Raw genomic sequence first — 16,081 nt, 5'->3', positions numbered from 1 at the left:
GCAGTTAGTGTCTCTTTATTAACTTTTAACTTTGAAATAATTCTGAATTTACAGAAACTTTCTAAATGTAGTACAAAAAACTCCAGTAACCCCTCATCCTCATGGGTATGTTCCAAGACCCCCAGTGGCTGCCTGATACCGTGGATAGTACTGAACTATGTATGTGTGTATATATATGTATCAATTGCATGCATATATATATGTATCAATTGCATGCATATATATATATATATATATATGCATATATATGTATGCATCAATTGCTGACCAAACTGATGTATGTGGCCTAGACAAACTGGAAGATGCCCTGGTCAAAAGGCAGGAGCAATGAGGTTGTATTTCAAGGTAAAAATACAACCTTGAGGCCGGGCACAGTGCTTCACACCTGTAATCCCAGCAATTCGGGAGGCCAAGGCAGGTAGATTGCTTTGAGCTCAGGTGTTTGAGACCAGCCTGGGCAACATGGTAAAACCGCGTCTCTACAAAAAAATACAAAAATTAGCCAGGCATGGTGGCATGCACCTGTGGTCCCAGCTACTAGGGATGCTGAGGCTGGAGAATCCCTTGAACCCTGGAGGCGGAGGTTGCATTGAGCCGAGATCATGCCACTGCGCTCCAGCTTGGGCGACAGAGTGAGACCCGGTCTTAATAATAATACAACCTTGGCCTTGTCATTTTTATAGTCAACATATTCAGAATGGCCAGGTACATTGTCTGTTACTAATGAGACTTTATATTCCAACCTTCCCCCTTCCAAGGCTTTGGGAGGAAGTACTGGTGGAGCCCTTCCATAAACATGGTGGTTACCACTCATGCTTTCTGGTTATGTTGCCTGAACACAAGCAGGTAACGTTTGTTTTTTGAGCATAAGTGTTCCTCTGTGTGTGCAGCACACCTGGCTTGGCCACACGTCCTACAGCATTGCACACGGCACAGGGTAAATCAGCCCTTCAGTGTTTTATGCCCTGGGGCCTTCTTTGCCCTTTCAAGAACGTAGGTTCTGTTGGGTATCTTCTTCCAGAGGAGCCTGGTCTCACTGCAATTGAAGACTTGCTTTGGATGGCATCCTTTCCCTTTAATCAACTTCAACTCTGCCGGAAATATGGCAGCAGCTTCTTCACTGGCAAACACAGCCTCTCCAGTTTTTTGGTTTTTGGTTTTTGGTTTCGTGACAAGCCCACTCCTAAATCAGTGTAGCTATGCCTCACTTGCCATGAATGGCTCAGTGTCACTCACTTTGGGGGACTGACTGCTGAAGTCTTCCCATGGGATTGTGCTTTCTGCGCTGACGTGCCCTCGGTGGGAACACCTTTCCGCTCATGTCTTCTACCTACAAGTTCAGCGTCTTTTCCGTCTTAAATAGGCACTTATCACTCACTGCAGCCGTAACGTTTGCAGTTTGAAATGTGATAGCAAAACTAGCATGATTTCTTTTTTATTTTTATTTTTATTTTTATTTTTATTTTTTATTTTATTTATTTATTTTGAGATAGAGTCTCACTCTTGTCGCCTAGGCTGGAGTGCAGTGGCGCGATCTCGGCTCACTGCAAGCTCTACCTCGCTGGTTGAAACAATTCTCCTGCCTCAGCCTTCTGATTAGCTGTGATTACAGGCGCCCACTACCACGCCAGGCTGATTTTTTTGTATTTTTAGTAGAGATAGGGTTTCATCATGTTGGCCAGGCTGGTCTCAAATTCCAGACCTCAGGTGATCCGCCTGCCTCAGCCTCCCAAAGTGCTGGGATTACAGGCGTGAGCCACCATGCGCAGCTGGGTTTCATTTTCGAATTAACTTAAAATACTTTCTGGACTGACAGCCTTGTGGGAACATCCTTTATATTGCTTGATTTGCTAACTGAACCTATTCCCCCTCCAGGCATAGTCTTATTTCTGCAAGGAAGACCTATTACCTTCCTGTTTCACACTTGGTTACCATTCTGTAACTAGTTTTTCTGCCCCTAGAAGTTTCATTCTTACCACACTGGAAATCTTAGCAATTTCATCATACATTTTTTTCCTTTCCTTATTAAAGTGAGTACTTTCACTTTTTCACTTAAGGAAGCACTTTATGGCTTCTCTTTGCCCTAGTCTTGTGTTTGGGGCCAATACTGAATAAATTAAGCAAGACTTGAACAGAAGCACTGTGCTACCTGGACAGTCAATTTATAACCCAGACAGCTACTAAGTGTCAGGATGTGTGGTGCACACAGTGAATTCATGGGACAGAGAAGGCGTGAGGATTCGCCATGCTTCTCAGAACAGGGCACAACTTCACTCTTATGAACTGAGAGGGCAACTTACATCCTGAGAGGCACAAAGGCGTCGGTGTGAGGATTTGCCATGCTTCTCAGGGCACAACTTCACTCTTATGAACTGTTTATTTCAGGAAATTTTTATTTAATATTTTCAGACTGCAGTTGACCACAGGCACCTGGGACCACAGAAAGTGAAACCGCACATAGCTGGGGCTGCTGTGCCCTTGATCTTTCACTCAAGTCCCAGGTAATACTCAGCTTCTCTCTATTTATATGCAGATTACTTTCCATGAAACCTGTTCAGAGTAATTTGCAGAAATAATGTGCCATTTCCATTAAGTACTTAACAAATGTTTCCTAAAAAAATCAAAAGCACTCTCACGCCTGCACAGAGTATATTCATCACTTCTATTCTGTACCGGTAGTGGAAGTCCTAGCCTAGCACTTAGGCAAAAGAAAGAAATAAAAGGCAACCACATTGGAAAGGAAGAATTCAAATTGTCCTTGCTTGCAGAGGAGTTGGTATTACATATAGAAAACCCTAAAGACTCCTTCAAAAAGTTGTTAGAACTAATTAATAAGCACATTCAGTGAGGTTGTAGAACACAAAGTCAACACACAAATATCTGTTGAGTTTCTATACATGAATAGTGGCTAATCTGAAAAAGAAATCAAGCTCATTTATAGTAGCTACAAAAAAAAAATGATACTTAGGCATCAATTTAACCAAGGAAGTGAAAGATCTCTGTGCTGAAAACTATAAAACGATGAAAGAAATCGAAGAGGACTCAAATAAATGAAAAGATATCTTGTATTTGTGGATTGGAAAAATTAATATTGTTAAAAAGTCCATATGACCCAAAGTGATCTACAGACTCAGTGCAATTCCTATCAAAATACCAATGTCATTCTTCCCAGAGATAGAAAAAAAAAATTCTAAAATTCCTGTGGAACCAAAAAAAGCCTAAGAGCCAAAGCAATCTTGAGGGAAACAAAAGCCCACGCTGAAATAAGAATTCAGCTGGACTTGTTTACCAAGACAACAGGTCACATGACTCCACTAATAAGACCAGAGACAGTAGAGAAACCAGCTAAAGCCAGCTAGAACCAAGATGGCAACAGAAATGACCTTTGGTCCTACTCAGTGCTTATTATTTCTCTAATTATAATGCATTAGCATATGAAAGCCATGCCCACCAGCACCATGGCAGTTTACAGATGCCATGGCAATGCCCGGAAGTTACCCTGTAAGGGGGAGAAACCCCAGTTCCAGGAGCTCCCCACCCCTTTCCCTGAAAACTCATGAATAACTCACCGCTTGTCTAACATATAATGAAGAAATCGCGCTAAGACAGCCAGCTAGAAGCAACCCTGGAAATACCCTCCTATAGTCTTGCCCTGCTCTGCCTGTGGAGTGGCTCCTTTTGTTCCTTTTTTTCCTTAATAAATTTGCTCTTGCTTTTCTCTGCCACTTCACTCTTGAGTTCTTTCCTGTGCTAAAGCAAGAACCCACTTGGCTTCCTAGGCTGAGCCCCAGTTTTGGAGATCACCCTGTGACAACACCACTTGACTTCAAAATATACCACAAAGCTATAGTAACTAAAACAGCATGGTATTGGTATAAAAACAAACATGCAGACCAAAGAAACAGAATAGAAAGCCCAGAAATAAATCCACACATCTACAATCAAGTAATTTTTGACAAAGACACCAAGAACACACAGTGGGGAAAGGACCACCTTTATAAATGGTGCTGAGGAAACTGGATAGCCACATGCAAAAGAATAAAACTGGACCCTTATCTGTCACCACTTAAAATCAACTCGAAATGGATTAAATACTTGAATGTGAGACGCCCAAACTATGAAACTACCAGATTAAATATTTGAATGTGAGACCCCCAAACTATGAAACTACTAGAAGAAAACATAGGGTGAACACCTCATGACCTTGGACTGAGCAAGGACTTTTTGGATTAGTCCTCAAAAGCATAATCAACAAAAACAGAAATAGACAAATGATATTCCAAAAACTATGAAGCTTTTGCACAGCAAAAGAAACAATCAACAGAGTGAAGGAAAGACTGACTGAATGGAAGAAAATATGTGCAAATTCTACATCTGGCAAAGGTCTATTATCCAGGATATATAAGGAACTCAAACAATAGCAAAAATCTAAGTATTCTGATTAAAAAACAAGACAAAAACTTTATTAGATATGTCTCAAGAGAAGACATACAATTGGCCAACGGGTATATAAAAATGTGGTCAGCATCAGTATCACTAATCATCAGGGGAATGTGAATCAAATCATGATGATATGTCACCTCACACCTGTTAGAGTGGCTCCAACACACATCTCCTTCCAAAGCCCCAGACTCAGCCAGAGCAGGGCAGAGGACAGACAGATGGCAGGGCGACCAGCTGCAGAGAAGAGCTACCCTCTCTGCTGACAGCTGCAGAGAGACAACAGGAGGAACTGCTGCAGAGAGGAGCCACCCTCTCCAGGGCCTTCTCTCTGCCGAGAGCTGAACACTCAATGAGATGACCTTCCTGCAGAGAGGAGCTGCCCCCTGCGGGTGTCCTCTGAGCTGTTCTAACACTCAGTAAAGCTCCTCTTCATTTTGCTCACCTTCCACTTGTCTGTGTGCCTCATTCTTCTGTACACAGGACAAGAACTCAGGCAAAGGCACCACCAGCCATAGAGGTTTCCAGCCAGAAAATCGATACCCCAAAGATCCCATAACAACAGCAGGAGGAGCACAGTGAGACTGTACCCAATTTTATGACTCCTAATGGTCTCACTGGTACTACAAACACTGGGACACTTGGGACAGAGAAAGGCCACATGGCCCACAGGGGAGAGAGCGCCTCAACTGTGACGTCATCTTCTCAAGTCGGGAGTGTGGGGAAATTCCTAAAATAGTGGTAGCATGGCCTTCCCACTACGGTGAGTGAAGTTTCTTCTTCTATCTTATAGATGAGGACAGTCAACATCCTGGAGAAGAATGCGTGTCCCTCTCTGGCAACAATCCCAAGTCTAGGTGACAATAGCCATGCACCTCACCCTGGTGTTAGGTTCTGTTCAAAATCAGTGTTACTTAATGGTTCCATGGAAATCTCCATCTGTCAGTCCTCCGAGCAGAAGCTCATCTCTGAAGTTCTGAGATGTATCACTGGGGCCGTGGATTCGGCCTGCGCTGCCCTTGAACAGCTTTATTGATTAGGACGCACGATGAGCACAGATTCCCAAACGCATGGATGGCTTTTCCAGTTCAGTGCTCACAATTTTCCAAATGGTTGAATTTGGAGTTGAATTTACTCAGAACTGACAACAACCTTAAGGCCTTTTGAATAACAGTTGACCTTCCCAATTTGGAAACATGTTTTATGTTTTTTTGGAAGGGATAATTGAGTGCTGATTTAGTTTATGATACTTGGCAGGAACAGAGTAAGCTGAAGTCCTGTGCTTTTCTGTTTATTATTCCTCAGATCAGCATTTCAGACGTGGGGAACAGGTTTTCATTTTCCTTGTTTGTGGGAAGACCATGTTCTGCTTCTTTTGTTCACCTGGAGCAAGTTAAAGTCTTCACTTTGCTCTTAAAACCTTTGTGTGATGTCACTGAAGTTACTTCCACGCAGTGGAAAATGTCCCTAACCCCTTGGTTATTTGCCTGTTACTCTAATACACGCTCATTGTTTGTATCATGATAATGATCTTGGCTTCATCATGTTTTGACATCAGGTGTTTCATTTTAACAGAACACTCCCAAGCCTTTGGTGTCAGTGGTTACAGCCAGTTTCTTCACACTCCTTCTCATGGTCATAAAGAAAGTGTTTCAGAGAAATTATTTCTTTTATATTTTACTGCTGTAGAACATGGAGTCAAATGTTAGAAAAACATTCCCAAAACCAAAAGGTGTTTTGCAAGTTGTAGCCAATCGATGTGAAATGTATTTAGCATTATTGAAATCTAAACAATCTTCCATTTGGAAAACCTTATGAAACAGAAGTTTTATCTCAGTACTAGGTGTGACTTTACTACAAATGGTTTGTATAGTTTTATTTGAAATCATCAACATAGAGGAATCTATATGAATTTTTCACTTCAACTTAATGCAATTACAAATAAAAAATACAAATATTAAATTTGGACTATTTGAAACTGTTGACCTTATAAACATGCACATCCAAACTATGTCCTATATGTATGACCTCATCACATATTTTCAACAGCTTTCAAGGAAGGTAGAAAAAGCAAACAGAAAGCACGTAGCATGTTGAAAACATAAGCCCTCAGGGGCAAGCAATCAGGACACTTCATCCACAAACGCGGAATGAGAAACGCGATGCTGACGACTTTCTGGAGTTCCGCCTCCCGCCCTGCCACCCTTTCCTTCCCTCATGTCTCCTATTTTGCTGGGAGCAGGTGCTTGGGAAGATGCCAGTGAGAGGGCCCATCTGGCAGCGGCAGCCGAGGGCACTGGTGGTTCTGGTGGGCAGGGGGAGGACCCACGGAGACACCCACGTGCCAGGCTCTCTGCGGGCAGGTGTTGCCTTCCATGCCGGGCATCCCAGTGCTTCCCTCCAGGGCCTTGGGTGCAGGTAGGGAGCCATTTTGGCTCAATACGTGCACAATTTCTTAAGGAACCTAAGGACTGAGTTGTCACAGACTGAGATTTCGTCTGTGCTGTAATTGTTCACTTGCACATTGATTTCCTCAGGAAACCCTGTCTTTGGGGTCCTATGACCCACGTATTCTTCTTTCTGGCCTCATTAATCAGCACGTGACGAGCACAGAAAAAAATTCACAGTGAATATTTGCTGAGTAAACACGTGGGGTTTCTTTCCATGCTTTTCAAGGCTGATTGCTAAGTATTGCTAAACTACAAGAATTGAAATAAAAGTAGGAGAACAATTTTAGAAAAATTCAGAACTTAAATGACAATATTAAAAATGCATTAATTCAAAAATTACCTGGACGTGGTTGCACGCACCTGTAGTCCCAGCTACTTGGGAGGCTGAGGCAGGAGAATCGCTTGAACTCAGGAGGTGGAGGTTGCAGTGAGCTGAGATCACACCACTGCACTTCAGCCTGGTGACAGAGTGAGACTCTGTGTCAAAAAAAAAATGCATTAATTCATCACATACTTTTGAAGTAACCACGGTGTGCTGACAGGTGTGTTAGGTGGTACGGATCCGGTGGGAAGCAGGATTGATGTGTATTCCTGTGCTTAGGGAGTCTTCCGTGTGGCTGCAGGGCTGTGTTAGTGGCATGTTTTATCTTTACCAGATGGAGGGGACATCAGCACTGTGAAATGGACAATATATTATCTGCAGCATCTCAGTGCCTTGAAGATTCCACGCCCTTGCAAATCCCCACTGATATCTTTGTAAAACATTTGGATGCTCAGTAGGTGTTTGGGATACATTTTCTCAAAAATAACACAGGAAAAGCTACTAGGGTTGCATAGAGAGGTGAACAAAGAAAACGTAGAAGATTTGTTTGGGGAAGATGCCTCCAGGACACGGCTGACCTTCCCATCTGGACAAAGCTCTTTCGGGCTCTGCATTTATTCCAACTTTCTCACCAAGTGCCAGCAATTCAGCATTCCAGGCCCTCCTCATTGCTGTCTGTACTCTCACATTTTCATTGTGCCTGATGCCAATGGATTATTCTGAAAATGTCCTGTCCCTTTCACACCCCTGGATGGGGTTGGCCTGCCTTTCTATGGGCTGAATAGGGGTCCCCCCCAAATTCATATGTTGAAGCCCCTCTGCACAGCATAATGGTATTTGGAGATGGGGTCTTTGGGTGGTGATGAGGTTAGATGAGGTCATGGAGTGGGGCCGTCGTGATGGGATCAGTGCCCTATAGGAAGAGACCCCAGGGAGCATGCTTCCTCTGACCACCATGTGTGGACACAGTGAGAAGGTGGCCAGGAAGCGGCCCTCACCAGGACCCAGCCACGCAGGCACCCTGACCTCATGCTCCAGCCTCCAGGCCCGTGGGGTCATGCATTTTTGTTTGAGCCACAAGTCCATGCTGGTTTGTTATTCCAGCCTGGGTTGATTAAGACACATTGTTATCCATAGTTGAGTAACTTCTTCACATTTTGATTTATTAAACAGACGTTACTGAGAGAGTACATTTGGATTCATTTGTAAGTTACATCAGTCTTTACACGAAGCTTGTTGCTATTGATGACAAACTCATCTTCCATTTTTTTCTTTCTAAATAATATATTGGAAGAAAAATGAGAAAATGCAGATACTCAAAAATACAGAGAAACACTGCCCACAATTCTGTCCCTCTGGAGAACTCTGACTAACACTCGTGCCTTCTGCGGAAGGAGGAAATTCCAGAGCGAAGGCTTTTCTCTTATTCACACTGAGATTTCCCATCAGCTAGTCAGAGCCCTGGTGAAGGGCCACCCAGAATTCTGGAAAAAAATCTCCCTACAACCCCAACCCCCTTAAATATATATATATATAGATATAGATATATATATAGATATATATATAGATAGATAGATAGATAGATAGAGAGAGAGAGAGAGAGGTTTTAAACACACACACACACACACATACACACACGGGGTACCATGTTCATGATATTTAATAAGCTCATTCCCGTTGGAATGTCCTTCTCCACAATTGACAGAATCAATTGCATGAAAGGGATTGATGAGGAGTAATGGGCTCACAGAATCACAGGGGCAGAGAAGTTCCAAGATAGGCTGATGCAAGCAGCAGAACCAGAAACACTGGAGAACCAGAGATGCTGGGGAACCAGAGATACAGCAGAACTGGAGACGCAGCAGAACCAGAGACGCAGCAGAACCAGAGGAACTGAAGAACCGGAGCAGCTGGAGAACCAGGAGAGCCGGCAGCCTGGCTCATTCCAAGTCTGGGAGTTTCAGAACTGGGGAAACAGACAGCGCAGCCCCCAGTCTGAGGCCAAAGCCAGGGAGCCCTAAGGAGTCCAAAAGCAGAAGAACCTGGAGTCTGATGTCTAAGGACAGGAGGAAGAAAGGGGCCTTGCCCTGGAATGGAGAGAGAGAGCAGAGAGAGAGAGCAAATTCTTTTTCTTCTCCCTGTTTTGTCCAGCTGGGTTCCCAGGTGCCACACACATGTAGGGCTGGTCTTCCTATCTCAGATCACTGAATTTCAGTCAGTCTCTCTGGAATCACCTCACAGATACACTCAAAAGCAACACATGGCCGGCCACCAGGCCTCCACAATCCAGTCAGGCTGACAGCTCCTATTAACCACCACAGCAATTGTCCCTTGGACTTAGCCCCGTCTGGGGCTTGGGACCCAAAGGGCAGATCAGGTATTTCAGACAAAATAGATGGCAACTCTGTGAGGCCCTGTTGTTCAATCCAAAGAGCATTTGGTTGATTCAGTGTACACCTGAGCATACACAGGCATGCTCACACACGCACACACGTAGGAACACGTGCCCACCCATGCATGCGTGTGCACATGGACACACTTGCTCACACATATGCGTATTGACATGCGCATACACACATAACACATCTGCACATGCACATGTGCACACGTATGCACACAGGTACCCACATGTACATGCATGTGAACACGGGCACGCATGCACATATACACACATTCACAAACAGATATATTCACTTTTTCTGTGTGACACTGTGCTAGGATTTGCAGACACAGCAATAAACATCGCGGGCAGAGCCCTGCCCTTCACTGGTGTTTTTTAACTAGAAAGGGAGAGGGAGAGAGAATGATATATAAAGACACATCACACAGCCATCCTGTATGTGGGAAAAGCCAAGGTCCTGCAGGGTGTCACAGGAAACCCCTGGCATCCAGGCTTTGGGAATGTGGGGGGAGTTTCCAGAAGGAAGTACATTTCAGTGGTTTGCAATTTCATGGGAGCTGGCTATGGAAAGGCGTGGGCGTGTGGCATGACGTGCTATGGTATCTGGGGATGGGGTTGCACCCTGTATCTACAACCAAATCCAGCCCAGCAGGACGAGAGCTCAGAGTCCGGAGGGAGGCAGGAGAGGAGCTCCAGTCTCCCACAGGCACCCTGCCCTCGGCCGCAGGCGTGGACACTGACGAGCTCCATCTCTTGGCTTCCTGGGGTCTGCGCTGCCGCAAGGCCTCATGAGGCCGCATCCTGCCCTGTGAACTGGGAGGTTGGCCTGAGCTGGAGGGGCCCTTGTTCTGTCCTCCAGATTCTGCAGCATCCCAGTTTGCACAGGGTAGCATGAGTCCTGCCCGTATGCCTTGCTTCTTCATGCTCTCTTCACACCCATTCTCTTCACTCTGGGTAAGGGAGAGAGTGGGAATCAGTTCTTAAAGAGACCTCACCCTCAAAGTCCATTCTGATAAGTAGGAGGCTGTGAAACAAACAATGTTTTCTAGGAATAAAAGGACATCTTTTCTCTAGTGAACCTGTGTTCCTTTTCATAGGCAACAGTACAGGTTTCTCTCTGAAGCCCGAGGGGTGTTTACATATAGGGTCTCTGTCACATATAATTCTCTTTAATTTTAAATGACATTTTCACCACCCTTTAAAAATGTAAAATTCTGTGGCTCAGAGACTCCCAGGCAACCCCTAATGACTCCGACCTCCCGGAGCTCATGCCCCTGAGGAATCCTCTCCCTGATCGGGTGGCTCCCGTGACTCTCTCCTGACTCAGAGAAGACGCCAGGGTGACGACAGCAGGGACGCAGGTCTCCCTGGAGCCCACTCCGTCCTGCTGGCTGTGAAGATGCCGCGGCTGTGATATGTATCCGCTGTGGGGCTGTGGGCAGGACTGACTGCTCAGGGCCAGCTGGGGACAGCAAGCGGCCAGCACTGAGGCTGAGCTGTGCAGCAGGGAGGGAGTGGACTCTGCCAGCAGCCGGGTCTCAGGGAGGCCGGTCCTTCCCTGTGGAGCCTGCTGATGGGAAGTCAGCCCCGTGGACCCCTCAAGGGCCTCTACGATCCTGAGCAGAGGACCTAGCTGAGCCAGGCCTGGACTCCTGACCCCCAGAAACTGTGAGATAATAAACGGGTGCTGTTCTAAGCCTCAGTGTGGTGTAGCAATGGATTATGCATTGATACGGCTTGGCTATGTCCCCACCCAAATCTCATCTTGAATTGTAGCTTCCGTAATTCCCACGTGTTTTGGGAGGGACACTGGTAGATAGTTGAATCATGGGGTGGTTTCCTCCATACTGTTCTGTTCTCATGATAGTGAATAAATCTCACGGGATCTGATGGTTTTATGAGGGGTTTCCACCTCTTGCGATAGTGAATAAATCTCATGAGATCTGATGGTTTTAGGAGTGGTTTCCGCCTCTCGTGATACTGAATAAATCTCATGAGATCTGATGGTTTTATGAGGGGTTTCCACTTCTCATGATAGTGAATAAATCTCACGAGATCTGATGGTTTTATGAGGGTTTCCACCTCTCGTGAAAGTGAATAAGTCTCACGAGATCTGATGGTTTTATAAGAGGTTTCTGCCTCTCGTGATAGTGAATAAATCTCATGAGATCTGATGGGTTTATGAGGGGTTTCCGCCTCTCGTGATAGTGAATAAATCTCACGAGATCTGATGGTTTTATGAGGGTTTCCACCTCTCGTGAAAGTGAATAAGTCTCACGAGATCTGATGGTTTTATAAGAGGTTTCTGCCTCTCGTGATAGTGAATAAATCTCACACGATCTGATGGTTTAATGAGGGGTTTCTGCCTCTTGTGATAGTGAATAAATCTCACGAGATCTGTTGGTTTTATGAGGGGTTTCCGCCTCTCGTGATAGTGAATAAATCTCACGAGATCTGATGGTTTTATGAGGGTTTCCGCCTCTCGTGATAGTGAATAAATCTCATGAGATCTGATGGTTTTATAAGAGGTTTCTGCCTCTCGTGATAGTGAATAAATCTCACAAGATCTGATGGTTTTATAAGGGGTTTCTGCCATACTGTTCTCATGATAGTGAATAAATCTCACGAGATCTGATGGTTTTATGACGGGTTTCTGCCTCTCGTGATAGTGAATAAGTCTCACAAGATCTGATGGTTTTATAAGAGGTTTCTGCCTCTCATGATAGTGAATAAATCTCACGAGATCTGATGGTTTTATGAGGGGTTTCCACCTCTCATGATAGTGAATAAATCTCATGAGATCTGATGGTTTTATGACAGGTTTCCGCCTCTTGTGATAGTGAATAAGTCTCACGAGATCTGATGGTTTTATAAGAGGTTCCCGCCTCTCATGATAGTGAATAAATCTCACGAGATCTGATGGTTTTATGAGGGGTTTCCACCTCTTGTGACAGTGAATAAATCTCACGAGATCTGATGGTTTTATGAGGGGTTTCCACCTCTCGTGATAGTGAATAAATCTCATGAGATCTGATGGTTTTATAAGAGGTTTCTGCCTCTTGTGATAGTGAATAAATCTCACGAGATCTGATGGTTTTATGAGGGGTTTCCACCTCTCGTGATAGTGAATAAATCTCATGAGATCTGATGGTTTTATAAGAGGTTTCTGCCTCTCATGATAGTGAATAAATCTCACAAGATCTGATGGTTTTATAAGAGGTTTCTGCCTCTCATGATAGTGAATAAATCTCACGAGATCTGATGGTTTTATGAGGGGTTTCCACCTCTCATGATAGTGAATAAATCTCATGAGATCTGATGGTTTTATGACAGGTTTCCGCCTCTCGTGATAGTGAATAAGTCTCACGAGATCTGATGGTTTTATAAGAGGTTCCCGCCTCTCGTGATAGTGAATAAATCTCACGAGATCTGATGGTTTTATGAGGGGTTTCCGCCTCTCGTGATAGTGAATAAATCTCACGAGATCTGATGGTTTTATGAGGGGTTTCCACCTCTTGTGACAGTGAATAAATCTCACGAGATCTGATGGTTTTATGAGGGGTTTCCACCTCTCGTGATAGTGAATAAATCTCACGAGATCTGATGGTTTTATGAGGGGTTTCCACCTTTCGTGATAGTGAATAAATCTCATGAGATCTGATGGTTTTATAAGAGGTTTCCGCCTCTCGTGATAGTGAATAAGTCTCACGAGATCTGATGGTTTTATAAGAGGTTCCCGCCTCTTATGATAGTGAATAAATCTCACGAGATCTGATGGTTTTATGAGGGGTTTCTGCCTCTCGTGATAGTGAATAAGTCTCATGAGATCTGATGGTTTTACAAGAGGTTTCCACCTTCACTTGGCTTTCATTCTCTCTTGCTGCCACATGGAAGACAGTGTGTCTTTCACCTTCCGCTGTAATTGTGAGGTCTCTCAAGCCACGTGGATCTGTAAGTCCATTAAACCTCTTTTATATTTATAAATTTCCCAGTCTTGGGTATGGCTTTATTAGCAGCATGAAAAGAGACAAATATATGCATCAAGGATCACTGATATCAAACGTTCTTAATTGAGAATCACACAGGAAAGCCCACGGGCCCGATTTAGCCTCTGGTTGTATTTATAGATCCCAACGTAGGACAAAGTGGGTGTTGAGTAAATATTTGATAATAAATATTCTAAATATAATGAAATATTCCTACCATATAATCCCAGCACTTTGGGAGGCCGACAAGGGTGGATCACCTGAGGTCAGGATTTCAAGACCATCCTCGCCAACATAGTGAAACCCTGTCTCTACTAAAAATACAAAAATTAGCTGGGTGTGGTGGCGGGTGCCTGTAATCCCAGCTACTTGGGAGGCTGAGGCAGGAGGATTGCTGGAACCTAGGAGGCAGAGGTTGCAGTGAGCTGAGATAGTGCCACCGCACTCCAGCCCAGGCAACAACAGCAAGACTCTGTTTCACAAAAAAAAAAAAAAAAAAAAAAAATGGAGCTAACCTGTTAATGTTCTGGTGTCAAATCAATTGAACCATATGCTTGTCTTATTTATGAAGAAGAAATTTTTTCTTCAGCTCTGGTCTCCCTCCCTAAATCTGGTAAAAGATAAGGCCAGTCCTTAAAAACAGCATGCATGGTTTAATGAATCTAAAAAGTAAAACCTTTCTGAGACTCTTTCAATCTTGAGCATGGTGTGTTTGGCAACAAATCTAATTTACAAACTAAAATATTGGCTGCACTTCACCCCCATGGACTCCTCTCCTTCCTGCCACACAGACTATGAAACTGTGGATTAGAGCAAGCAGAGAGATGGAATTTTAGGACCTTGCAGACAGTCTTATTTGCTAAGATAAAAGTGTTAGTTTAATAAAAGACAAATGGAATTTAAGGACATTTGTTACAGTGAGATTGTGTCGGGGTTACGTGCAGGGGCCACCCCCCCTCTATTTGACGTGGGTGTGTTGACGTGTATAGAAGCTAAAGCATTTATCTCAGGAAGTGCTGGGAATATGGAGCGCTCTGGGGACACTAGAGGAAAGGTCCACAGCCAATTTGCAGGATCAGAACAAGGACCAGCCTGGGAAGCATCTGTAATCGCCAGGGGTTCTAAGTGTGGCTGGTGGCCCAGGCAACAGGGCCCCTCAGCCGACAGCTTCAGGGAGCAGCGAAGCTGCCTGTTCAAGCTGTGAATGGCCAAGAAACAGGCCCTGCCAGGGTTGGGGACGCCCCTCTCCACTCTGCAAAGTCCTGGAGGTGCATAGCGGATGGGGAGCCTTTAACGAGAGGTGAGACGGTGCCCGTGGGCTGTAACTCCCTGAGCCAGTAGGTATTAGCGCGAATTTTAACGTGATTCTAACTGAACTTTCTCATTCCTGCGTTCTTGGGAGTATATGCTGAATACACAGAGATACACAGAGTATACCCTGTTTTTTGTTTTTTCTTTGAGATGGAGTCTCGCTCTGTCCCCAGGCTGGAGTGCCATGGTGTGATCTTGGCTCACTGCAACCTCCGCCTGCCAGGTTCAAGTGATTCTCCTGCCTCAGCCTCTGGAGTAGCTGGGATTACAGGCATGTGCCACCACGCCCAGCTAATTTTTTGTATTTTTAGTAGAGATGGGGTTTCACCATGTTGCCAGGCTGGTCTCAGACTGCTGATCTCAAGTGATCCACCTGCCTTGGCCTCCCAAACTGCTGGGATTACAGGCGTGAGCCCCTGCGCCCGGCCCACTTTCTTTATTTTTTAATGAAAGAACTCACTTGAAACACCACTTTGCTGAGCAGACCTTGTCTTCTTTATCTTTGATCTGTGCTAGCTGCTTTTCGTGTTTCTGACCGTAGAGTCTGTCCGGGCAGCGCACAGGGAATTTATTTATCATCAGTTAGTGCCGTGTGGCACATGGCAGGGATATGGAACGCACAAATCAGAAGGAAACTCGTTCCCTGGGTCAGCACTTTCTCTAGGGGAGGGTGATTTGAAGAAACCGTGCTTTTACAATGTGGAAAATTCTAGAAATAATCGCGCTTGGGCCCTTCCCAAGTCCCAGAGCCCCGCAGCGCTGCCTGGGAATTGTTTGCGGAGGCCCACGCAGGTCTGCACTGAAGGCACTTTTCCCTGGCTGAGGCTGTAAATGCGGCTGCTTTCAGCCAGCTCCTGAGCCGGCGGCTTCATTAAGACGCTTTAGCTTTATCCTCTCAAATGGCCTAAAGAACGTTAATGAAGACAAGGCATTGCTAAGTGTGAAATTAAGTCCTTGTAAAAATTTGTTCAGAGAAGTAGTTTTCCTTACTTCAGAGAAAGAAGGGAAATATCTCTTTGAGTGTTGCCGGCAGCATTCGAATAGATAATGTGACCAGATTTGCACAACAAAAGTCACGTTTACAAGTCTTCCTGTTTTCCAGTAATTTCTAAGAGCCATGATTTGGTGATGGTATTCTGAAGAGATAATTGTCTGCAGTCTGGAGGCCATG

At 44.7% G+C, this 16,081-nt stretch overlaps 1 annotated feature.

Moving 5' to 3' along the window:
- Positions 10,713-11,593: an enhancer, noted in NCBI's record as "H3K4me1 hESC enhancer chr2:932826-933706 (GRCh37/hg19 assembly coordinates)". NCBI's record gives its function as "activates a minimal SCP1, AML or CMV promoter by ChIP-STARR-seq in primed H9 embryonic stem cells {active_cell/tissue: H9 hESC(primed)}" and the evidence as "EXISTENCE:reporter gene assay evidence [ECO:0000049][PMID:30033119]".

Source organism: Homo sapiens, chromosome 2 (assembly GCF_000001405.40).
Source record: "Homo sapiens chromosome 2, GRCh38.p14 Primary Assembly".
Taxonomy (NCBI): Eukaryota; Metazoa; Chordata; class Mammalia; order Primates; family Hominidae; genus Homo; species Homo sapiens.
The sequence above is the reverse complement of the archived record's forward strand: the minus strand, read 5'-3'. Positions and strand labels throughout refer to the sequence as shown.